This window comes from Homo sapiens, chromosome 2 (assembly GCF_000001405.40).
Source record: "Homo sapiens chromosome 2, GRCh38.p14 Primary Assembly".
Lineage (NCBI taxonomy): Eukaryota > Metazoa > Chordata > Mammalia > Primates > Hominidae > Homo > Homo sapiens.
The window spans coordinates 15,491,362-15,517,804 of record NC_000002.12 but is presented as its reverse complement, the minus strand read 5'-3'; the positions used below and the strand labels follow the sequence as shown (position 1 = coordinate 15,517,804).

The window sequence follows — 26,443 nt, the reverse complement described above, 5'->3', positions numbered from 1 at the left end:
GTGATCAGGTCATGAGGCAAGCAAACGATACTCTATGTACTGTGTTGCCAGCATGTTTTGGATATTGTGTTGTGTGTTTTGACATCCCATCACATGTATAAAACACCCTTTTTTCACTTACAGTATTTTCCATTTACAATAGGTTTATTGATTATCTGATCATAAGTCAAGGAGCATCTGTAAAACTACGTACCTACTACGTGCACTTAACAAATATTAAATGTGTCTTTCTTTGACCTAAGATGTATGTTTATGTGTGTGTGTGTGTATACATTCACAGACATATATAAATATCAAAGACAATAATACAAACAAAATTCCCTACTTCCATTATTTTGTCTCACTTTCTTCCCTCTAGAGGCAGCTGTCATAATTTTGGTGTGTGACCTTCCAATATATATTTTTGTATTTGTTCCCTTCACATTGTATATGTTTTCCTGAACAATTTGGTTATTTGTCCATCCCTTTTAAATATTTGAAATATTTCTAATTTTTCAGCTTTATAAATAGTACTGTGGGGATCAAAAAACTACCTATCGAGTACTATGCTTATTACCTGGGTGAAGAAATAATCTGTACAACAAACCCCTGCGACACACAATTTACCTATATAAAAACCCTGAACATATACCTCTAAACCTAAAATAAAAGTAAAAAAACCTAAAAAACAAAACAAGTTTCACACTAAACTTTTTTTTTTTGGCCAAAAGATGAATATACCTGTGCAAGAATTTCTCTATAGTTTCCTTGGAGCAGTTTGTGGGATAGTTAGTTGTGTGCATTTATTTGATATTGTCAAGTTGCTCCAAAATGATTGCTTCAATTTGCAATCTCGCTAGTAGTTTTTAAGAGTTACTAGGCCCCTAAACATTCTAGAGGGTGATTGGTGTAAATCTGTGTTGTTTTAATCTGCATTATTGGCTTTTGGATTTCTTTTTTTGTGATTTGCTGTTGCTTATCCTTTGTCTACTTTCCTTTTGAACTGGTTTTGGGAGATCTTTATAAATTCTGCCTACTAATACTTTGTTAGTTCTGTGTGTTGTAAATAACTTCTCCCAGTCTTTTTTTTTTTTTTTTTTTTTGAAATGGAGTCTCACTCTGTAGCCCAAGCTGGAGTGCAGTGGAGCGATCTCGGCTCACTGCAACCTCTGCCTCCCAGGCTCAAGCGATTCTGGTGCCTCAGTATCCTGAGTAGCTGGGTCTACAGGTGCACGCCACCACACCTGGATAATTTTTTGTATTTTAGTAGAGACGGGGTTTCACCATGTTGCCCAGGGTGGTCTTGAACTCTTGAGCTCAGGTGATCCACCCACCTGGGCTTCCCAAAGTGCTGGGATTACAAGCCCAGTCTTCATTTTATGGATGGAAATTTTAAATTTTAATATGGTCAAATTTGAGTGAGAATGTCTTAATGATGGCAGGGTAGGAAAATGTTTACAGGTCAAGATGCACAAAGCCCAGCTCATAAGTGAAAGCTTGATGAGCATGAACTGAGTTGGCTCTTCTTAGAACTTATTTTCTTATGGGAATTCTGTGTTTTTCTAGTTTCATTAAATCAGTTTGTTCAGTTCCATGAAAAATTCTTACAGGATTTATGTGAAATTGCATTCAATTTGTAAATTAAGAGGAATTGGCATGTTTAAAATACCCACCAAAGAAGATAGTATCTCTCCGTCTTCATTCATGTAACTCTCACAAGCTTGAAATTTTCTTCTCGATGTTTCCTTAAAAATATCAAATTCTTGGCTTAGCATTGTTTTGTCCGTTTTAAACAGTGTGACCCCACCTTTCCCTGCCTCCATTGCCGTGACCCTTCCCTTCTCCCCACCTTATCTCATCATATCTTACTGCTGAAACATAGAGTGAAGACAAGCAGTAAGAAGATGGGTCTCTTTGTACCTTCTTCACTCTGTGCTTCCTAATGAGAAATGTGGACTTTCAATTCACAGCCCCTCAGCAAACATTTATTGAGTATATTGTGCTGAGTTTCAGACTCTTCTCTTCCATTGACTGGCTTTTTTTTTAAGTTACATGGTTTTACCAGTGGAACTTTATTTCTCCTCACTTCTGGCCAGTGTTGCCCTGGAAGCCTGTTCTGAACACTGTGATGATGATGGAGCGTGTTTATTTACTTGGCCAATCATCACCATAAGCCTGTTTTATTTTTATTTTCTTAATCACTTGTAGATTAGTTCTCGTCAACATTGTGAGTCTTATTGAATAATAAAGTAATGGAGTCTTGAATTGGGGTTGATACCCCTTGGGGTTTTTGTTTGTTTGTTTGTTTTGAGAAAGTCTTGCTCCATCACTCAGGCTGAAGTGGTGGCTCGATCTTGGCTTACTGCAGCCTCTGCCTTCCAGGTAGCTGGGACTACAGGCATGCACCACCACGCCCAAGTAATTTTTGTATTTTTGTAGAGACATGTTTTCCAGGCTGGCCCCTTGGCATGTATAACTGAAGAAAAACCCTTCAGTAGATTTAGATTTGCTTATCATCTTCAGATTGGTCTGTCATCTTTTGTGCCACTAATTTCATGCTCCCATGTGTTCTTCCTTTTTTTTTTCTGTTTTAGAGAGTGAGCTTTTAAATGCAGAGCACATGCCTTGTTCATCTTTGTACACTCAGTGCCCTGCACATTGCCCTGCACTCAGCAGCTGCCAGTTTTGTGAAGATGTTGATTCAGTTATCTCCATTTCTTCCCCTTTAAACATACCTGAGGACCCGTGCCTACTTGGATGTGTGAACACATATGCATTCTTAGAGCTGGAGCATCAGTGTCCTAAAGCTGCTATCTGTCTGATTGGAACAACACATGATTCGTTTCATCATTCTGCTGCTTTTCCCCTTATTCTTCAGTCTGGCATGAACGGAGGAAAGGCTGGGAACAGATACTGAATCCCTTTTGTTCTTAGGGGATCTTAACCTTTTGTAGACAGTTTTATCTATGCATGGCTATGCTAGTTATCAGAATTCATAGAGAGGAAGTGTCTTGCAATACCCAGGACATAAAAAATCTGGATTATCACTTAGGTCTGTAACTCCTTCAGTAGTCAGCCAACTTAAAGTTTCAGACATATGTTAACATAAATTTAATTAGTAGAAATTATATATTATAAATACATTAATGTTTACTATATTATATGTTTTTAATACAAATATATATATTGGACATTGATCAAAGTGACATTATTTCAGTTATCAAGGAACTGTTTTATAATGGACTTTGGGAATTTATTGAATTCTTAAGTAGTGATATTGTTATAGTTTATTGAATTCTTAAATAGTGATATTGTTTTCAAATAGAGGTTCAATAGAGGTTACTGTTTTAAATAGTAGGTTACTAGTTTTTAAAGGTATGTTTTATGAATCACATATTTTTGGATTGAAAAAACGTTGTGATTAAATTCTGAACTTTGGATATTCCAGATTACCCCTTATATTTCTATTTATTCAGAGGATTTTTTTCCTATCAAATGGACTTTTGAGAAATAAATTTATGGAAAATTTGAAGCATGTACAAAAGTAGAATAGTATACTGACTCCTTAGTGCCTGTTATTCAGTTTCAACAATCAGCTCATGGCCAGTCTCATTTTACCTGTATACCCAGCCATTTCCCTATCCACCCTTCCCTGGATTATATTGAAGTAAATCCTGGACAGCATATTATTTTATCTGTAAATATCTCAGTGTGTATTTCTACAAAATAAAGACTCTAAAATATAAACATAATACCATTAGCACATCTAAAATAATTAACAGTAATCTGTCAGTATCTTCAAATATCCAGACTGTGTTCTCCCCTGCCTCTTTTTTAGACAGGTTCTCACTCATTCTGTCACCCAGGCTGGGGTTCAGTGGCACAATTATGGCTCACTGCAACCTCAGAACTCCTGTCCTCAAGCGATTCTCCCACCTCATCCTCCCGAGTAGCTGAGACTGTAGGTACCTATGACTACACCTGGCTGATTTTTTTTTTTGTAGAGATGAGATCTCACTATGTTGCCCAGGCTGATCTTGAACCCTTGGCCACAAACAATCCTCCCACCTTGTCTTCCCAAAGTTTTGGGATTACAGACATGAGCCACTGCATCCAACCTATGTTTTCTTTTAATTCATTGATCTGCTCTCCATATCCTCCTTCTGTCTGTTGCTCTTTTGCTTTGATTATGTGTGTGTGGGTTCTGAAAAAAAAAAAACCCAGGCCATTTATTTTGTATTTTCTCACTGTCTAGTTTTTGTTGATTGCATCTTTGTAGTGTTGTTTAAAGTATTTTTCTTTTTTCATCAATATTTTCTCCAAATTGAGAGTTAGATTCTGAGGGATAATATGATTTTATCTGCACTAGATATACTCCTTTTTTTGTGAAATATTTTACTGTAATAGAATCATTTGAGAAGAATGAATGCTCTGGGCAAGTAATACTCATAATACTAGCCTGACTTTGGACCACAGTCTCTTTTGCCCTGGTGAGCAGGGTTAATTACGTGTTAGCTCTAAGGATTTGCTTAGGGTAGGAACAACCAAAATAGGTTGCTTCAAGGCATCGTCTCAAAGTTTTTTACTTCCAATTTGCTGAGATGAAAATTTGTTAGAGCTGCATAAAAAGGCAGTAGGGAAAAGGCTTTGTGTGTAGGCCCAAGCTGTGTTTCTGTGAAGAAAGTGCATTTGAATTACTTTATGGTTTTTGAGATTTTGAGTTGGGCTACATTCCATAATTAAACCTAGAAGGATTTTGTATAGTTTTGAAAAATTTAGATCTAAGAGTATATGGTAGAGATGAGTTCTTTAATTGTTATTGTTAGCTTAGTTCAGAAACACTTTAGAAAGTGGGTTGTCAAATGAGAAGAGGGCTTTTAGTGGCATTAGAGTGTGACAGGTCATCTGAGTTTTGGGACTGGGAAAGAAAAAAGGTATATATTCATTTTCTATGAATCACAAACTTGGTGACATAACACAAACTTACCCTGCAGTTCTGGAGCTCAGAAGTCTGAAATGGGTCTCACTGGGCTAAAATCAAACATATCCTCAGGGCTGTGTTCCTTTCTGGAGGCTTGGGGAGAATCTATTTTGTTGCCTTTTCCGGCTTTTAGAAGCTTCCCAGATTCCTTGGCTTGTGGCCCCTTCTACCTTCAAAGCCAGCGGTGGCCAGGTGAGTGTCACATTACATTACTCTGACATTGACTCTTCTGCTGCCCCTTTCTACCTTTAAGGATCCTTGTGATTACTTCGGGGCCACCTGAATAATTCAGGATACTCTCCCTAAGTTCAAGTCAGTTGATTAGCAACCCTAATTCCATCTACAACCTTAAATCCATGTAATAGAACATACTCACAGACTGCAGCGATTAGGATGTGGACATCTTTTGGGGGCCATTGTGTTGCCTGCCACACAAGGTGAACAAAATTAACAGAAGGCAGGTGTTGCTTTCTACCATAATATAGTGCTTTTTGACTACTACCAGTGGGCATACACCTCCACTGGTCTTGAAGGGTCCGTATTGAGAGCTCATGGTGTTATGTCATGAGGTACTGATATTTATTTTATAACATTTAAAGTTAGCTTTAGTTGACATAAATTGTAACTGAGTTAGTCTGATATGCCAACTCTAAATAACTTTATGTTTTTTTGACTTTTCAATTTCTATGTAGAAACATAAATTTTTCAAGATTTGGTTTTTCTATGAGTATGGCCAAGAAGGAGGTAAACGGAACTGTCAGACTTTTTTTCTTTCTTTAGACAGATAACTGTGATGTCTGTTATACAGATCCCTGCCAGAAGTACTGAACATAGCTTTAAAAATTGTGACTGTTGGGGTTTCGTTATTAATTAGCTTTGTTTATATAGTGGTTACACAGTAATGTCTTCTAACTTTTAGTATATGTTAGGCTGTTTGCCCTGTTGGTAACTGGCCTCCAGTTATGAATGGAGTGTAACAAACAGAAAAGTGAACCACTCATAGTGTGCAGCTAAACTACCAACCAGTCTTGTTTTGGTATAATTATTGCTCTGTGGTTCTTTCCCATTCAGTCTCTCCTGGGTGTCATTTCTTTCTAGCTTTCTGTAATGGCTCCCTCATTGCATCAGATACATTGCCATAATTAATACATAATGTGTCTGGGTGAGGCTACACATCTATTAAAGTTTATTGGTGTTGATACAGACAGTTTTTTTATATTCAGTTGCTAGCCTTAATTTTTTTCTTCATTTCTAAGTTCCCACCTGCATTTCAGGTGCCTGAATATTTAAGCCTTAGTATATGGTGAAATTCTAATTGAAAAACAGTTTGGTTTTCTTTTGATTGTTTCCTCTGAAATATTTACCTTCTAGGTTTAACATATATTAATAGTACTTGGTAAATTTTCTTTCTCAAGGTGACTGTTTCTGCTCTCTTTGTTTTGCTCTTATTTATATTTGCAATTTATCGATTTTTAAAAATTTTCTCCTTTTTAGACTTTTACTTGTTGGTGGATGTGAAACTGCTGAAGTAGGCATGTCAAAAGCTTCTAGCTGTGGCCTTTCTGCCTGGAGAGTTCTTTCAGGATCACCGTATTATAAGCAGGTTACTAATGGTGGAGACGGGGTTACTGCAGTAAGTATGAGTTATGGCACTTCACTTTGCTATGTGTCATTTCACTGTGCTATTTGTCTTAGACAAATAAGTCCTTTGTAAGATATAGAGGAAGAAATAATTTCATCTTGAATGAGGACAGTGAATTAATGCTGGTATAATTTTATTTCTTTCAAATAACAAATTCAACTGAGGCATATTGTATTTAACTTGGAATAATTTTTAGTAGTGACATTTTCAGATACTAGAAAAACAACCTAACAGTAGTCCCATTCCTTGTATTTGCTTATTTAGATGAAAACATGTATTAAGCACTTTTTAATGTGTTGGCAGCTATTTGGAGTGCTTTTTATATGCTCTAACTCATTTAATTCTAAGTAACCCTTTGAGGTAAATATTGTTACTGGCCCGAGTCTGTTGATGAGGTGGTAAGTGAGGTGTAGTTAAGTAAGTTGCCCTGATCATCCAGCTAGCAAATGGCAGAATTAGAGTCCAGATTTCCATGTTGTTCCATATTTACATGGACTATTCATCCATCCATCCATTCATTCTATACTTACTTATTGAGCTTCTATTTTGTGTCAGGCAGTCCTTGGGGCTGTAGTAGTCAGCATAGGCTAGGTTCTATTTTGATAATTCAAGCAATCAAATGAGCAAATGCAAAGTCCTGAAATTTCTGTGGCTTATCATATACATATTTTTTCCTTATTTTGTGGCAAAGCCTGATGTTGAGATCATGACTCTCCTGGGCAGCTTGTTTTAAGTGATGATTAAAAGATCCATGGAGAATGGTGACCTTTTGGGGTCCCACTATCTCCGTTTATGGTCTTAGGAAGGGAAGGGAGAGATAATAGGTGGAACTTTTTACTGTCTTAGACCAGAAGTGACATTGGTTCTACTTACAGTTCATTTATTGTATTATGGCCCCTCCTAGCTTCAAAGGGGCTGGGAAATAGTTTTCTATGTGTCCAGAAAGATGTGAAAAACTAGGTATTGGTAAATACTAATTATGTTTACCATCCTGGCCACACTGCAGTCTTGCATGTCTTAGTTATTTGTGTAAACTGTATGAAAGTGAGCACTTGGGCCGGGCGTGGTGGCTCACGCCTGTAATCCCATCACTTTGGGAGGCCGAAGTGGGTGGATCACGAGGTCAGGAGTTCAAGACCAGCCTGAGCAACATGGTGAAACCCCGTCTCTACTAAAAATATAAAAATTAGCTGGGCCTGGTGGTGTGCACCTGTAATCCCAGCTACTCAGGAGGCTGAGGCAGGAGAATCGATTGAACCTGGGAGGCGGAGGTTGCAGTGAGCCGAGATTGTGCCACTGCACTCCAGCCTGGGTGACAGAGCCAGACTCCGTCTCAAAAAAAAAGGAAGTGAGCACTTGGCCAAAATTATGCAGCTTGGGTTTACCATGTTACCTAGTGGGCACTCAAATATTTTTTCAGTGAGGGAAGAAATCTAGAAAAGTTGAAACACAACATAATCAAACATGATATGTGTTCATTTTGATAATGAATTTGTCAAAAAATATATTGATTTCAAATTATGTTCTAAAACAACAAACTATTAAAGATTTTAGTGTTGAAAATAAACTAATGAAGATGTACTTTTGAAAAGAAATCTTTAGCAATAATAGTAATCCTCTGTGAATTTTATTTTTAGCATTTAATATATACTGCAGTGTGTAACTGTGATTTAACCCAACAAAGTAGTAGTTTCTTTTTCTTTAAATGAAGTCAACTTACTGGTTTATATGGCACCAGACATTAAACCAGTTTGTATGTGTAGAACAGCTTATGCAGTACTGTGGATATGCCTTTCCTTCCATTTATTGTCCATCTACCTAGTCTATCAGCCCTTTATTCTCTCTGCAGGACCTAGTAAGGAGAACAGTTGGTGTATTATTGGCCACATTTCACAAATAAGGAGCCTAAGGCACCATAGAGCATAATAACTGAACATAGAGGCATGAGATGGGCCAGATCTAGTTTCTGTTCTGCACCCGCCACCCCATGAAATTCTGTCCATATCAGTGGCACTAATATATGCTATGATGATTATCCCATAATCTATAAAAAGTAAAGTGAGGTAGAAGTTACTCGTACATATTAGACACATTAGTTCATATCTGTAGGAATTTAGCTGTGTTTATCTCTCTGATTTAGGTCATATCCAGCTTCTAGTTTTATATGCAAGATGTTTCAGGGTAGATCTTAGAGTCTGAAGAAGTTTCTCTTAGCTCTGTCTAAAGTAAGCATGATGTCTGCGGCTTTCTTGGCTCACTGCAACCACCGTCTCCCGGGTTCAAGCGATTCTCCCATCTCAGCCTCCCGATTACCTGGGATTACAGGCACCCCCCATCATGCCCGGCTAATTTTTGTCTTTTAGTAGAGAAGGGATTTCCCCATGTTGGCCAGGCTGATCTTGAACTCCTGACCTTAGGTGATCCGCTCGCCTTGGCCTCCCAAAGTGCTAGGATTACAGGCGTGAGCCACCATGCCCGGCCAAGTCTGCACCTTGCTTTCAGATGATTCAGTAAAAAAAAAAATTTTAAATTATGTGTGTCTGTATACATAGACACACACATAGAGATAAAGCAAATGTGACAAAATGTTAATAACTGGTCTAGCTAGGTGAGAGGTATACTCGTGTTTCATTGTACAATCATTTCAACTTTTCTGTAGCTGTGAAATTTGTCAAAATAGGGTTGAGGAAAAAAGGAAAATGGATGTGTATAGAGGATATAAGGAGAGAACGTGGGTAAGTGGTGAAAGTCCCTTTTGGTTTGGTGTAATCAAGTGTTTATTTGGGACCCAGTAGGCAAGCAAGTGGCAAGTCACATACCAGGGAACCTTTTTTCACCTTAGTTTCTTTGAATTCTCCTGTGCTTTCCCTTTGCACCTTACTGAAGTATTGGAATCTACTCTGCTATGTATGGTCCTGATCTCCTTGTGGCCTGAGGCTTCGGTATTGAAGTCTTTTAAAAGAAAATTGCTTGTGCGCTGACAAAATAAGTGGGAAAAATATTGAATTGCAAATGGAATGCTCTGCTGTATGATTAACTTCTTGAAATGCTGCAAGTGTATTTTAATTATGTTAGTGGCTGTGTCTTGCAGCTAAACTTGAAATCATTCTGCATAGCCTTCCCTTACCTCACAATAATTTGAGGTTATGGGATTAGTTCCTTTTGTCAGGCAGCAGATATTGTTCTCATCGAACCTCCTCTTACTGTTTGTTTAAGGTTGCTGTTGTCTTGGTGTAGGTATTGACTGAAAAATGCTGCTGACACATACATCGTAGTCTCTCTCAAGGCTGCTAGGTTGTAAAACAGACTGTGCAAAATTCAATATGTGTATTGACCCAAGTTTCCAAATTAATGTTAGTGTCATCTATGTGAGATAGTTTTATTTATTCATTTATTCAACATTTAATCACTGCTCCAGGTATTAGGAATGTAAAAATACTGGTGGCAGCCCTCAAGGGATTCGCTGCATATGGGAAGAACAGCTATGTCTCAAATAAGTGCAATGAGCTATAACAGGTACCAGATTAGAATTCAGTAGCTGGGACAAAGGAAGGACCCAGGCTGTGGAGTCAGAAGGCTGGTGTTTGAATTCCACCTTATCCCTTACCACTGTCTACTAAGGCTTTTGCCAGGATGTAAATGAAGTAATATATGTAAAGGCATTTGATAAACTGTAAGATGATCTACAGTGTTAATTATTTATTGTTGTCTGAGTTTTTAAGATCAAAATTTTGGAAAACTATATGAGAATGAACAAAGTTGACTGAATTTTTATTATTGCTGCTGCTGCTGCTGCTTTTTCAATATAGAAGCTTGTTGTGGAAAGAACATAGACTTTTTGAAATCCTATTTCCACGAGAAATCCTATTTCCCTGAAAAAAATAGAAGTAATCAGAAGGAATACTTCTGTAGGATCCCACACCCTGCCAGCAGCTGTGCCTGTGTACTGTAACTTTTCTCTTGTTCAGACAGAGGAACTGTCCTTGCTCAGGCTAAGGCCAAGCCCTGTGTTTGTCCACTAGATCTCCCACTCTTGTTTATTGAAGGATATTCATCTTACATCAGGAATTTTGTTACCTCTTAGGTTTATCAGCATGTAGCATGCTTTTATTTTTCCCTTCACAAAAACTCTTCAGACTCCACTTTGCCCTCTAGCTACCATCCCATTTCTTTTCCTTTCCTTACAATGCTCAAGAGTTGTCTGTACTTGTTTCCAATTCCTCTCCTTCCATTCTCTCTTGAATTCACTCGAATGGAGATTTCCCTCCATCATTTCACAGAAACTATTCTTATTGATGTTATCAATGTCTTCCAGCATTTTACGAGTTTGTTTTCTTCGTATTCTTTCATTTCTACTAATTGCTTATACAAAAATCAGCTTATTCTGCTTTCTTTTTTCTTTTTTTTGTTGTTTTGTTTCTGCATTGTCACATACATAATATTTGTACATTGGTGTCTACTTTTGTTCCCAGCTTTCTTTAGTCATCTATTTATGTATTTTAAAATGCTTACTCAGTTCTTTTGCTGAAGTTTTCCCAGTCATTCTTGTGGTTGGATGAAATTACAGTATGTTTTGAGAAGGTCTCATAGGTGATGAGTTTCTTAAGTTTTTGTATTTTATGTTCAAAACTGTTTTGCCATAACCTTCAAATTTGAGGGGAAACTTGTCTGGATGTAAAATCCTTGGTTCGCCTTCTCTTTCACTACACTTTTAAAAAATGCTACTCTTGTTTTGCTTTGTATGTGAGATTTTAAAAGTCTGATGCAATCAAATTATTTGCCCTTCGTATGTTATTAGTCAGTTTTTCTTACAGGTCTTTATTTTCTTTATCTTTGAAATCTGATAGCTTCCTAGGATATTGGAGTTGATCATGCTGAGTTTAAATTTTCTGGGTATGCATTGGTTCTTTTAGTGTGTAGATTCAGATTTTTTTCTATTTCTATTTTTTCCATTTTCTGTTTCTGTAAAGTTTTCATGGATTATAATTTTAAATATTCTGTACTTTGGTTTTGTTTATCTTCTTCAGATTCTCTGGCAATCCAAATGTTACTGCTTCTTACTATCTTCTCTTTCCAGTAGTTTTTCTTTACTCTTTTTACCTCTCCCTTTTATCTCATTTCCTTTTCACTTCTTAACTCATTTTCATTTTTTCATTGTTTTCATGTCTTCCTTTAAAGCCCCTTACTAAATTATCCTTGAGTACCTTGTAATTTATTCTTTATTTTTTAGATAATTTTCTCTTTTTCTTATATTTATTTCCTGAATTTATTGAGCTTTTTATTATTAACCCTTTTTCACTCTTCTTGTCCAGTTCTATTTTCAGTTACTGAATTTTTGATTTAAGGTGATTTTTCAAGTTGTCCACATTCTCAAATGCTTGTCTGACTATATTTCATTCTGTTTGGAGTGCTATGTTAAAGTTTTCTTTTGCTTCGTGGTTGTTTTTTCAGCCATAATTTCCCTTTGTTGACACGTGTTGACTTTTGTCTTCTCATGTCTGCAAACTATTGTGAATCTCTTTCTTGTTCATTTTTATGATATTGGAATACTTTACAAGATTGGTAGGTTAACGGTGCCTTCTTTTGTCAGTATAGCAAAGTTCAAATACCTTAGCAGATTTTTTCGGTTTTGTTTTGGTGGCAGGAGGGGGCGTGGATCCTCTGATGTTGTGGTTGTCTATTGTCTTGCTGCACACTACATTTGCCCCTTTGCTTCCTTTCCCCTTTACCACCCCTTTGGCAAAAGGCACTTCTTCCTGTTTGCCATTTTTCTCCCTCAGAAGCTCTGTGTTTGGAAGCCTGCCTCTTCATATCATGCCCACACTTAGGTCCCTTCCCTGTAGGCCATGTCTGATTAACCTGGATGCTTTTATAGTATTTTCACTCAGAGTGGACTTAGTCTTTTTGGTGGTAGTTTTGGTTTTAGATGGACCTTAGCCATTTTTGCTAGCTCCCCTCTGTCCTCCCTGGGTGTTTTTCAATTTGCTTTTGCTCACCACCACACCTTGTGGCAGGTCACAATGGAGTAAGTGGGGACATAGGTTTTAGCAGGAGCAATGGAGATGACACATTGGGATTTGGTGATTTCTTTCTTTTTGCTTACAGTTATTGTAAAGTTTGGGTTATTCTCTATCTTCAGGCTAAGTGGAGAGTATGGTTTTTGTGTAGATTTATCTCCCTTTCTTGTTCTTGATTTTTTTGGAGAAAGTATTTGGAGAAGTGTATCAAGGCCATCCCTAATGTTTTCAACTCAGAAGTTCTGGCTATTGTGAATATTGTTGCTGTGAACATTCATGTACAAATATTTGTTTGAATGCTTGTTTTCATTCTTTTGTGTATAGATCTCAGATGGAATTGCTGGGTCGTATGTTAGTTTTATGTTTAAGTTTTTGAGGAACCACCAAGCTTCTTCCACAGTGGCTGTACGGTTTTATGTTCCCATCAATAGTGTATGAGGGTTCCAGATTCCCTACATCCTCAACAATGTTATTTTCCACTGAAAAAATATAGTTTCTAAGTCTAAAGACAAAAAATTGTCATGTGTTATATTAAATTATTTTATGCACTGATTTCTAATGATGAAGTCTTTTTTGGTGTTTTTCAAGCATAGAATCAATTGTTAATAGATGAAATTGCTTTGGGAAGTTTTAGCTTTTTCTATACTGATGTTAGGATAAAATGGCAACCTTGGGCAGCCTTACTTGAGAAGAGCTTGCGGTGGATTTTGATTTGCATAAAGTTTACTGGTTATATATTTAAAAAAGCATTTGATCATGGATGTCTTTTGTAAGATTGTACCACTTGGTGGATTTTTTTTTCCCAAACAAAAACAAAATCTCACCAAGATCCTTGACACCTTCTTGGTGATTTTCTTTAATCAATTAAAAAAATACTAGATTTGCTATAGTTTTCATTTCATTATAAAGGGACATTTTACAACGATAAGTCATTTCAGTAATCTTTCTTCATATGATGCATTTATTTTGCAGGTACCGAAGACACTGGGATTATTAAGGATGTTAAGTGTCAAGTTTTACAGTCGCCAGGGACAAGAACAGGTAACACAAATTGGCTTAACTATGGTGGGCTTCTCAAACATTTTTACCCTGAAGTACCTTTAAGGTCAAAGCTGAATGAACCTCGAATTTTTTGTATCTTCATCTGAGTGTATTCATATACACTATGTGGCTATATGCATTAGTAAGAATTCATAGAGCTGGTGCTGAAGATTTTTATATTTTACTGTGTATCAACCTTATCTTAAAAGAAAAATAATTATAGAGAATATACCCAGCCCTCTTGGGGATCTGGGAATATAGCTCAAGGAATTCTCCTAGAAACATTATATACATATCTTTGAATTTCATATTTTATCTTTACAAATCTTGTGAATTTTGTATTATTGTTCATAATATATCATTTTTTGGCTTAATATTAAAAAAAATTCTTCCCCAAATCTGAGATTACTGATGCTCCAAGAAGAAATGTGCCTCCTGACCCTAGGTTTTAAGTACCATTGTTTTACTGTCTTGTTACTTAGCAGGAAGAGTATGGATCCATGGCAAGGATGTTAGACGGTTTCATCCAGATGAATATCAGTGATACTTAGGAACTGCCTCTGTGAGGTGGTTACATTTGTTTCTCTGTTTGACTTTCACAAGAGTCTTGACCTACACTGGGGAATCAAATCATACTTTTGTCTTGTGGGGGAATCAAATCATACTCCTGTCTTGGAGGAAAATCAAATAATCTAATCTTTTTCACTGCTTCAGTTTCTTTCCCTGTAGGACCTGCTGATATGAAAAGTCAGGCCTTCATATCTGCAGATTCTATATCCCTCAAATACTGTATTTCCAATTCATGGTTGGTTGAATCAGAGGATGTGGAACCTGTGGATATGGAAGGCTTGACTGTACTGTACTTTTTATCATTATTTTAGAGAGTACTCCTTCTACTTACTAAAAAAAAAAGTTAACCATAAAACAGCCTTAGGAATGTTCTTCAGGCATTGCACGGAAAGGCATTCTTAACATGGGAGATTACAACTCCATGAGTGTTACCATCCCTAAAGACCTTCCAGCGGGATAAGATGTGGAGGTAGAAGACGGTGATATTGATGATCCTGACCCTGTGTTGGCCTAGGCTGATGTGTGTATTTGTGTCTTAGTTTTTAACAAAAATGTGTAAAAAGTAAAAGCATAAAATAAAATACAAAAGTTTGTAGAACAAGAATGTAAAGAAAGAAATTTTTTTAATACAGATGTATGTATAGCATGTTTGTGTTTTAAGCTAATGTTATCACAGAAGTCAAAAAGGTAAAAAAATACAAAGTTTATAAAGTAAAAAAGTTACAGTAAGGGAAGGCTAATTTATTATTGAGGAAAGAAAGTTTAAAAAAATGAATGTAGTGGAGCCTAAGTGTACAGTGTTTCTAAAGTCTACAGTAATGTGCAGTAATGTCCTGTCCTAGGCCTTCCCATTCACTTGCCACTCACTCGCACACTCACTCACCCAAAGCAACTTCTAGTTCTGCAAGCTCCATTCATGGTCAATGCCCTATACACATGTTCCATTTGTTATCTTTTATACCATTTACTGTACCTTTTCTGTGTTTAGATACACAAATATTTACCATTGTGCTCCAGTTGCCCACAGTATTCAGTAGAGTAGCATGCTGAGCAGGTTCATGGCCCTAGGAGCAATAGGCTATACCACCCAGCCTAGGTGCGTAGTAGGCTATCCCATCTAGATTTGTGTAACTGCACTGTTATGTATGATGTTTTCACAACGACGAAATCACCTAATGACACATTTTGCAGAACATCTCCCTGTTGTTAAGTGATACATGACTGTACTATAATTTTAGAGCTGAAAGAGCTCATAGGGCTTATCTAATAATTTCTTATTATCATGAACACTTTGACAAGTATTTTCACAGGATCTCACAGGAAGTTTGCATTACCTACACTGGCATTATGATGCCTGCTTTTTATTGATGAAGAGATTAAGGCCTCAAGAGAAATGTGTGCCTAAACTCACTTATCCAGTGTCAGAGATGTGTTTGGTCTTCTGTTGGTTTGTGATCCAGTGCTTGTTTTCACCACTTCTGGTTGGTTATTGTCTTAAACCTTTAGTTGGTAATTTGGAAGAAACAGAAACTAAGATGTGTTTCAAAGTAGCTGAGATGACAAATTACTTAATATCTTAGAAAGAATTATCTATTTTACTACTCAAGTTTGGCAGCAATTATGTTTCTCTTAAAATGTGCTCCTCTTAGCCTGGCGTGGTGGCTTACACCTGTTATCCCAGTTCTTTGGGAGGCTGAGGTGGGAGGATCACTTAAGCCCAGGAGGTCGAGGCTGCAGTGAGCCATGATTGTACCACTGCACTCCAACTTGGGGGACAGAGTGAGACCCTGGCTCAAAAAAAAAAAAGTTCCTCTTAACTACTAATATCTTTACAAAATGGGCCTGCTTTCCTGTATAACCATATTATTAATATTTAGTTCATTTAAAAAACCGGGAGGCGGAGCTTGCAGTGAGCCGAGATCCTGCCACTGCACTCCAGCCTGGGCGACAGAGCGAGACTCCGTCTCAAAAAAAAAAAAAAAAAAAAAAATATTTAGTTCATTTAAAAATTTACTTATGAAACTCTAACAACACTGAGATTGTATAGTATTAGAGGTAATATACATAAAATAGCCAAGACAGTGATTGTCATATTGCAGATACTCAGCAAATAATAGTGGTGTAATGGTGACTGCTGTTATCTCTGTTAATTTCTTTATATCCTGAATTATAGAATTAATAATTAGTAGTCCACAGGTTCTTTTTGAATTGTGGTTTATTATACCCAAACTTACGTGGCTTTAAAAAATAACTTCTCATTGTCTGGCATATAATATTATCTTTTTTTTTTTTTTGAGGCAGAGTGTCGCTCTGTTGCCCAGGCTGGGCTCACTGCAAGCTCCACCTGCCAGGTTCACACCATTCTCCTGTCTCAGCCTCCTGAGTAGCTGGGACTACAGGCACCCGCCACCATACCCGGCTAACTTTTTGTATTTTTAGTAGATATGAGGTTTCACCATGTTAGCCAGGATGGTCTAGGTCTCCTGACCTCATGGTCTGCTGGCCTCGGCCTCCCGAAGTGCTGGGATTACAGGCGTGAGCCACCATGCCTGGCCAGTATTATCTTTTAAAAGAGTATGTTAAAATAAGAATTATTTATATTCTTTTATCAAGGATATTGGCTTGGATCTTTTCTTTTTTTTCTTTTTTTTTTGAGACAGTCTCACTCTGTCACCCAGGCTGGAGTGCAGTGGCGCGATCTAGGCTCATTGCAAGCTCCGCCTCCCGGGTTCACGCCATTCTCCTGCCTCAGCCTCCTGAGTAGCTGGGACTACAGGTACCCGCCCCCACGCCCGGCTGATTTTTTGTATTTTTTTAGTAGAGACAGGGTTTCACCGTGTTAGCCAGAATGTTCCTCGTGATCCACCCGCCTCGGCCTCCCAAAGTGCTGGGATTACAGGCGTGAGCCACCGCACCTGGCCTTTTTTTTTTATTTTTCAAAAGCCTTTTTTTCTTTCCTTCATGCATTTACAGTGTTTTTGTCACAGGCTTTTGAGGCTGACTTTGTTTGATTTGAAGGATAGATTTCTAATTTTGTGTGTGTGTGTGTGTGTGTGTGTGTGTGTGTGTGTGAGACTTCTAAAATATAATGGTGTAGAATATCTAGTAAACTTCTTGAGGGTGGGGATTTATGTTTGTTTTGTTCAACGCTGACTTCCTACAGTGTAAAACAATGCCTGGCACCTAATATTTATTATTGAATATATAATATTCAATAAATACTTGTGGAATGTTGGAAGAGCAGCACTTATAAATTTGCCTTTTATTGATCTGAGTATTTTTTCTTTAAGAATATGTAGTACTTCAGAATGTTTCGAATGTATGCACTAGAAAACTACTTTATTTTTAATACAGTTTGTATATTTGAAAGTTACAGGAAATAGTAAATCACTCATTTTTAATTCTATTAAATTAGATGACAGGTGATTGATTTCAGTACAAAGGTCTGATGTTTAATATTCTTAAAAACCCTGTCTTGGAAAGGACAGTTAGTTAGGAAGTTTTACTGCAATGTTTGAGAGAAAGTACAACTCGTTCTCCAAATATTGCTGCCAGTAGTAGAAGGATTTAATAGTATTTTTAATGAAGAAAGAACAAATGGGTATTGGAGCTAGTGGAATAGAGTGGATTGCAGCAGATACTAGTGATACTCTTTGCTATCAAGCCGTATTTCATGACAATTTCTTTGTGTTCATATTTTAACAATTCATGTGGTTTTCCTTAATAAATATCACTATGCCTTCTCAAAACGTTTTAAAATAGTCTCATTTTACTTTTTAAATTTTTACTTTTTTAAAAAATTTAACTTTTATTGTAAGTTCAGGGGTACCTGTGCAGGTTTGTTATATAGGTAAACTTGTGTCATGAGGGTTTGTTGTACAGATTATTTCGTCACCCATATATTAGGCCTAGTCCCATTAGTTATTTTTCCTCATCCTCTCCCTCCTCCCACCCTCCACCTGCTCATAGACCTCAGTATGTGTTGTTCCCTTCTATGTGTCTATGTGTTCTCATCATTTAGCTCCTACTTATAAGTAAGAACATGTGGTATTTGGTTGTTCCTCCATTAGTTCCTGCATTAGTTTTCTAAGGATAATGGCCTCCAGCTCCATCCATGTTGCTGCAAAGGACATAGTGTTGTTCTTTTTTAGGGCTGCATAATATTCCATGTATGTAACACATTTTCTTTATTCAGTCTATCACTGATGGGCATTTAGGTTTATTCCATGTCTTTGCTATTGTAAATAGTGCTGCAGTGAACATATGTGTGCATGTGTCTTTATGACAGAACGATTTATATTCCCCAGTGTATTAGTCTGTTCTCACACTGCTATAAGAACTACCTGAGGCTGGACGCAGTGGCTCACGCCTGTAATCCCAGCACTTGGGAGGCTGAGGCAGGCAGATCACTTGAGGTCAGGAGTTTGAGACCAGCCCAGCTAACATGGTGAAACCCCATTTTTACTAAAAATGCAAAAATTAGCTGGGTGTGGTGGCACGTACTTGTCATTTCAGCTACTTGGGAGGCTGAGGTGGGAAGATTGTTTGAACCCAGGAGGTAGAGGTTACAGTGAGCCAAGAATCGCGCCACTGCATTCCAACCTGGGCGATGGAGCAAGACTGTCTCAAAAAAAAAAAAAAAAAAGTAACTCCCTGAGACTGGGTAATTTATGAAGAAAAGAGGTTTAATTGACTCACAGTTCTGCAGACTTAACAGGAAGCATGACTGGGAGGCCTCTGGAAACTTACAATCATGGCGGAAGTTGAAGAGGAAGGAAACACATCTTTACCATGGTGGAGCAGGAGAGAGAGAGAGAGAGAGAGCGAGCACGAATGGGGAAGTGCCACACACTTAAACCATCAGATCTTGTGAGAACTCACTATCATGAGAACAGCAAAGGGAAATCCGCCCCCATGGTTCAGTCACTTCCCATCAGGCCCCTCCAATTTGACATGGGATTTGGGTGGGGACGCAGATCCAAACCATATCACCCAGTAATGGGATTACTGGTTCGAATGGTATTTCTGTTTTTAGGTCTTTGAGGAATTGCCATACTGGCTTCCACAATGGTTGAACTAATTTATGCTCCCACTAGCAGTGTGTAAGCGTTCCTTTTTCTCCACAACCTCGCCAGCATGTTATTTTTTGAATAGTCCCATTTTAAATGTTTGTATGCCAGACACTGTATGTATGTATAAATATTTTTTTTATTGGGATAAATATATATTTTAATTATCTGTTAAACTTCACAACTCAAAAGGTATAGTATTATCCAAATTTTATAGATTAGAATCAGATTAGAAAAACTAAGTGAGGTTTTATAGCAAGTGGAACTCTAGCATCTGTGGTAGTTTGATACTACATTGCTGCCATATTCTTTTATGGGCCCTCCAGAGAGGAAAGTTGAAATAACTTAGTGGAGAATGGGTGAGCTACTTCCCGTTTCTGTATACCCCTACATGTACTTTATACACTCAGTAAATGTTTTTACTAATCACCCATTTTGCAGGCAGATTAGTTACGGAGAATCAGTGGAGGAAAGGTATAGTGTATCTAGGGGAAAAAGTTGTAAAATTTTAGTTCCTTTAATAATTTGTTAGATAAGCTTTTAAAAACATATCTTTTGATAGAGATGGTTCTCAGTTATTATAGATGACATGGGAGTATACTATAGTAAAATACAAGGAAATATTTTACTAATTTTTCATCATTAAAAGTAATTTCAATACCTACTCATAGGTGTTACTAGGAGCAAATTAAATGTGTGCTCTGTGGCTTTGGGATGCTATCAACATCAATATATTCCATACTTCTTAATGTATAAAATATGAGTATTTTCAGATTTTCAATACCTTTCAGATCCCAAGAAGTCCTAAACTGGCATCTGTAGCCCAGTTCTCCTCTGCACTTCAGATTTGTATACCCTGCTGCTTACTTGACAGCTTCAGTAGGATAGCCTTCAGGCATTTTAAATCAAACATTTCCAAAACAAAACTCTGATAGCTTCTCATTTTTCTTCCCTAACCCTTTCTACCTTAGACTTGATTGCCTCAGTAATCCATCCTTTTGCCAAAGGGAGATACCTGAAAATTATTGCTGACACTAGCCAGTCCTTCATCCCCCCATCTAATCTAATCTAACACCTTTGCTACCAGTATCATCTTCAGAGTGTACTTAGAATCTTTCTACTTCTTTTTTCTTGTGTGGCTATCACCATTGTATAATTTGTCATCTCTCCTACATTAGCAGATACTTAATCAGTTCCCCTAGCAACCTTAGTGACTTAAAAAATGTAAATCAGATAAGCTCATTTTCTTGCTTGAAGAAAGCCGTCAGTGGCTTTCTGTTGAACTAAGAATGATGACAGAATCAAATGCTTAACATTATCCAAAAAGACATTACATAAGCTGGCCCATGACTGTCTCTGCAGACTGATCTCATGCCACTGGCTCATTCTCTTTTAGTTATGTTGGCCTTATCTCAGCTCATCAAGGGTGCCATGTTCTTTTCTTTGTAGATTCCATTTTTTTTCTATTGGGAATGGTTTTACCTTATTTGTCCTCATTAATTAATTTTTTCTCATCTTTGGGCATCAGCTCTATTTTTCATATCCTCAGACTCCTCTTATAGTCCTTCAATTTAAATACAGTTCCTATTGTTATTCTCTCTTAGAGCACTCTGTATTTTTCTTCCATAGCAGTAATCAAAGTTTGTAATGTAGATTTATTTGTTAGTTTATTTGTATACCTAATCTGTATTTTCATGGCTCCATGAAGCTAGATTCACATCTGTTTTACCTAGAAAAGTGCCTGGAATAGAATAGGTGTATTAGATGATAACCTCCTTTGCAGCAAGAAATTAAATCAGATTCCTGCTAGCTTCTTTTTGCACCTTCTTCCTTCCTCCCTCTCTCCCTCCTTCTTTTCTTCCTTTCTTCCCTCCCTCTTTCCTTGCCTCTCCTTCTCCCTCCCTCTCTCCCATGCTTTCTTCCTTCCTAAGCTTTTTATTGTGAAATATAATACAGATGTAGGAAATTGCATCAAACAAATATGTGGTTTAATAACCATTTTGGGGACAGCTTTATTGAAATATTCACATGTGGTACAATTTACTCATTTAAATTATACAATTCAGAGGTTTTTAGTATATTCACAGAACTGTGCAATGATTTCAAGAATCAATTTTAAACATCTTATCGCTCTGGAAAAAAACCCTGCATCCCTTAATTATCACCTGCAACACTCCATCTCCCCAGCTCGTAAGCAACCCCTAATCTTTTAGTTTGTATAAATTTGCCTATTCTGGACATTCTATATGAATAGAATTATAAAATATGTGGTCCATTGTGACTGGCTTTTTTCGCTTAGCATGATGCTTTCAAGGTTCACCCATGTTGTTGCATGTATCAGTATTTCATTTCTTTTTATTGCTGAATAATAGCCCATTGTGTGTGTGTGTGTGTGTGTGTGTGTGTGTATCTGTATATGTATGTGTGTGTGTATATATATACACACACACAGTGTTTTATTTATCCATTCATCAGTTGGACATTTGGGTTGTTTCTACTTTTTGGCTATTATAAATAATGCTGCTGTGAACATTTGTGTGCAAGTTCTTTTGTGGAAATATCATTGAATTTTTCTTGGAGTGGAATTGCTGAGTCTTATGATAACTGTGTTTAGCCATTTGAGGAGTTGTCAGATAGTTTTCCAAGGTGGCGGCACCATTTTCTGTTCCTAATGTCAGAGTATGGTGTTTCCATTGTCTCCACATCCATGCCAACACTTGTTATTATCTTTTATTCTAGTAATCCTAGTAGGTGTGAAGTGGTTCTTGTTTGAAGTTGAAAAGGTACATAACCTTATAACCATTATCTAGGGCAGAAACAGGACTCTGCCAGCTACCTTCTATGGACCCTGTCACAAACACAGTTCCCGCCCTCCCTCCACAAGCAGCCATTATTCTGGCTTAGGTTTATCTGTTTATTTATACTTTTATCATGCAATTTTTCATCTCTAACAATATGGCTTTTTAAAAAAAACTATGTGTTTTAAGTCTCTTTTTCTCTATCTGCTGGTCTGTCCTCCATATCATCTTTTTTTTCTCTTAAAAATTATTTGTTGAAGAAACTGTTTTTTCATTTTACTCATTGCATCTTTATAGTGGTGTTTCCTTTATTCTTTTGTCCTTTTGTGTCCATGTATTCTTATAAATTAGTAGTTGGATTTAAAGATCATGCAGATTTTTTGTTTGCTTTTAAAGGCAGAAAACTGTATAGGTGGTAGTGCCTTCTTTTATCAAGAGGATCGTATCTGTTTTTGATGACATTAGTATGGGACTTCCCCTGTACAAGTGGGTGCAGGCCGGTTAGTTTTGAGAGCTTATAGAGTGCCGATTGCTCCAGGATCTCTTGTCACGCTCCTGCTATTGGAGTGTGCATAACTTCCCCCAGTTTCCATTTATGTGAACAGTATTTATCAAGTGCCTGGTCAGCATTTTGGCAAGAGACTACTCACCATTTTCTGTGCAATGCATTGAAGAAATTGCCTATTGTGAATGCCAAGAGATGTTCCCTGCGTGTTAGGAGAGTTATTGTATTGCTGCCACAGAGTCTTGTCAGGTCATCTGGAGCATGCCACATGAGTGTCTGGGCTTTGGCTGCCTCCTCAGCAAAATGAAAAAAGGGGGGTAAAAATGCAGAATTAAAGTGGAAGATTTCAAGTGGAGGTGCACATCAGAGATATCTGGGAGTTTTTTCAAAGAACATATGCCTATGTTTTTCCAGCCTAGATTTCTATTTATCCTAAGTGCTGGGAGTGGAGCAGGTGTCCATGTGATTCTGATACCCTCCTTTTTTGGGAACATCACTCTTTATTGTCTTATTTCAGCTCTTGTATTCTAGCATTTATATAATGTGGATGGAGTTTCTATACTCAGGGAGCATATAAAGTGGTTAGTGAGACTAGGTAAAGTACTAGTTAGAAGAATTAAATATCAATATATTCCTCCAATATAAAAGATCTTACTAAGGTGCAAGTGAAGAGTGCCAAATGAATGAGACATGTTGTTGGAATTTACGATTAAGATGTGTTATTATGGATTCAGGTAGAATCCAATCTTCATACTAACTTCTATATTTAGAAAGTTGAGTTATATGATAAATGCATTAAATGACTTTACGTACATTCTAATTTTATCCTTGGGGCAACCTTATAATGTGTAGATGTTGTTATTTTTATTTCAAAAAGAGAGAAAGCCTCTGTTACTTATGATAGTTAACTAATGTGCCTGTGGTCACATAACTACTAGTGGCAGAGCCAAGTTTAATGTTCTTGACCAAAATTTCAGCTGTTGAAATGATGATTAAAATAAAAATGACATTCATGATTAAAATAAAAACGAGGAATGTGAAAGAAATTTAAGACTTACTTTAACCAAAGTGAAAATTGTGGCTGGGTGGGGTGGCTCATGCCTGTAATCCCAGCATTTTGGGAGGCCTAAGTAGGCAGTTCACCTGAGGTCAGGAGTTGAACCAGCTTGGCCAACATGGTGAAACCCTATCTCTACTAAAAATACAAAAATTAGCCCGGCGTGGTGGCAGGTGCCTGTAATCCCAGCTACGTGGGAGGCTGAGGCAGGAGAATCCTTGAACCCTCGAGGCAGAGGTTGCAGTGAGCTGAGATTGCACCACTGTACTCCGGCATGGGAGACAGTGACTCTGTCTCCAAAAAAAAAAAAAAAAAAGAGAAAATTGCAGCTACATATAAATTTTATTGCTTTTACAACTGCTTAATTCAAATAAAGAAGAGAACAAGATTATTATTTACTTGTGCTGAGAAATCTTAATACAGTATGAAGAATCATGGTTTAAATGTTTGAGGTTTACCTTTTTTTTTTTTTTCTTTTTGAGCCAGAGTCTTGCTGTGTTGCCCAGGCTGCAGTGCAATGGCGTGATCTCGGTTCATGCCAACCTCTGCCTCCCAGGTTCAAGCCATTCTCCCACCTCAGCCTTCTAAGTAGCTGGGATTATAGGCACTTGCCATCATGCCTGGCTAATTTTTGTATTTTTGTAGAGATGGGGTTTTACCATGTTGACCAGGCTGGTCTTGAACTCCTGACCTCAGGTAATCCACCTGCCTTGGCCTCCCATAGTACTGGGATTACAGGCATGAGCCACTGCACCTGGCCGAGGTATACTTTTATTGTGATATGTAGTTGCTTTTATCCTCCCATTTCCAAGGCACAAACTCTGGTATTCTCTCCCTTGCCCACTGTATTAGTCAATTTTCACACTGCTATAAAGAACTACCTAAGACTGAGTAATTTATAAAGAAAGGAAGTTTAATTGACTCACAGTTCCACATGGCTGGGGAGGCCTCAGGAAATTTACAATCATGGCGGAAGATGAAGGGGAAACAAAGCAGGTCTTAATGGCAATAGGAAGGAGATAGAACGAGGGCAGAACTGCCGCACACTTTTAAACCATCAGATCTCATGAGAACTCACTAGCATGAGAACAGCATGGGGAAAATCTGTCCCCATGATCCAGTCACCTCCCACTAGGTCCCTCCCCTGACACATGGGGATTACAATAATTCAAAATGAGATTTGGGTGGGGATATAGAGCCAAACCATATTACTCACCAACAGACACTCAGACTCCCAAATACCACAGACTCTGTTCATAGAATTTAGCGTGGATTTTCTAACTGTGACTTGAGATTTTGGTCCACAGTTACTGTTGGGATAATGAATTATTCCCTGGGCCAGAACCCCCTTGCATGTTATATAGGAATTCAGAAATGTTTCTACGGACCAGGTGCAGTGGCTTATACCTGTAATCTCAACACTTTGGGAGGCCGAGGCAGGCAGATCACTTGAGGTCAGGAGTTTGAGACCAGCATGGGCAACATGATGAACCCCCGTGACCCTCTACAAAAAATACAAAAGTTAGCCAGGCATGGTGGTGCATGCCTGTAGTCCTGGCTACTCAGGAGGCTGAAGTGGGAGGATCACTTGAGCCTGGGAGGCAGAGGTTGCAGTGAACCGAGATCGTGCCAGTGCACTCCAGCCTGGGTGACAGAGCCAGATCCTGTCTCAGAAATAAATAAATACATAAAGGTTTCTACAAATAAAGAGCAGAGTTTTATTTCAGAAGGAAAACACTGTATTTCCAACATAACCTAAGTGTCTTGAGAATCTTGAGTGGCTACAATCCAATTACTACTAATAACTCTATCATCTTACTATGCATGAACGTTCAATAGATAACTTGGGACTTCAAAGAAATGCATACTTGATGTGTATTTATAAGCAAAATAATGACTGGGATTTGCTTTAAAATCCTCTGGCATGGTGGTGACTGGGGAAGGGTAAATGAAACATGCCTGAAAAAATGTTAATATTTGTTGAAGCAGGTTGGGTATGTGGATATTTATTATACTGTAATTTCTACTTTTGTGTGTAAGTGAAAATTTCTACAATAAGATAGTTCAAGAAAGAAATACTACATTTACAGTGTGGATACCATGGCATCTAATGAAACTAAGGGGATCAAGTATCCACCATATGAAAGCAAGTGGGAACATTCTAGTTAATACAATTTATTGTTTAACTTTCTGGAAAGAAAGAAGTGAGTGTAGAGGAGAAACAGTACCTTTTCTCTTTCCTTTCTTAGATTCATAGATGAGGCTCCTATCACAAAACACAGATTAGCAAGATATACTGATAGATTTAATGTAAATTTTATGTGACATGGGAGCTTTCATAAGGAAATGAAGATTCGAAGAAATGGGTAAACCTGTGTATTTTTCTTTTTCTTTTTTTTTTTTCTTTTTTGAGATGGAGTCTCACTCTGTCGCCCAGGCTGGAGTGCAGTGGCACGATCTCAGCTCACTGTAAGCTCTGCCTCCTTGGTTCACGCCATTCACCTGCCTCAGCCTCCCAAGTAGTTGGGACTACAGGCGCCCACCACCACGCCTGGCTAATTTTTTGTGTTTTTAGTAGAGACGGGGTTTCACTGTGTTAGCCAGGATGGTCTCGATCTCCTGACCTCGTGATGTGCCCGCCTCGGCCTCCCAAAGTGCTGGGATTACAGGCGTGAGCCACTGCGCCTGGCCAACCTGTGTATTTTTAATGCTAGCTTTGAAGAAGAGAAATGGATAGTTGTGGAAGTATGGTTGGATAAGTATGATTTAATAGCAGTAAATTGG

The 26,443-nt window shown here is 37.7% G+C and overlaps 1 protein-coding gene across 9 annotated transcripts in view; it reads left to right on the top strand.

Moving 5' to 3' along the window:
• The window catches only part of NBAS (NBAS subunit of NRZ tethering complex), a 782,426-nt gene that overhangs the window by 43,530 nt on the left and 712,453 nt on the right, over positions 1-26,443 (top strand). For all 9 annotated transcript variants that reach the window (XR_007076390.1, NR_052013.3, XM_017004317.2 and 6 more), the window contains 2 exons: positions 6,455-6,593; positions 13,592-13,660. Coding sequence is in view for 7 of the 9 variants with exons in the window: in XM_017004317.2 (XP_016859806.1) it covers positions 6,455-6,593; positions 13,592-13,660 (208 nt within the window). In the remaining 2 variants the exon portion in view is untranslated. The remainder of the gene's footprint in view (positions 1-6,454; positions 6,594-13,591; positions 13,661-26,443) is intronic.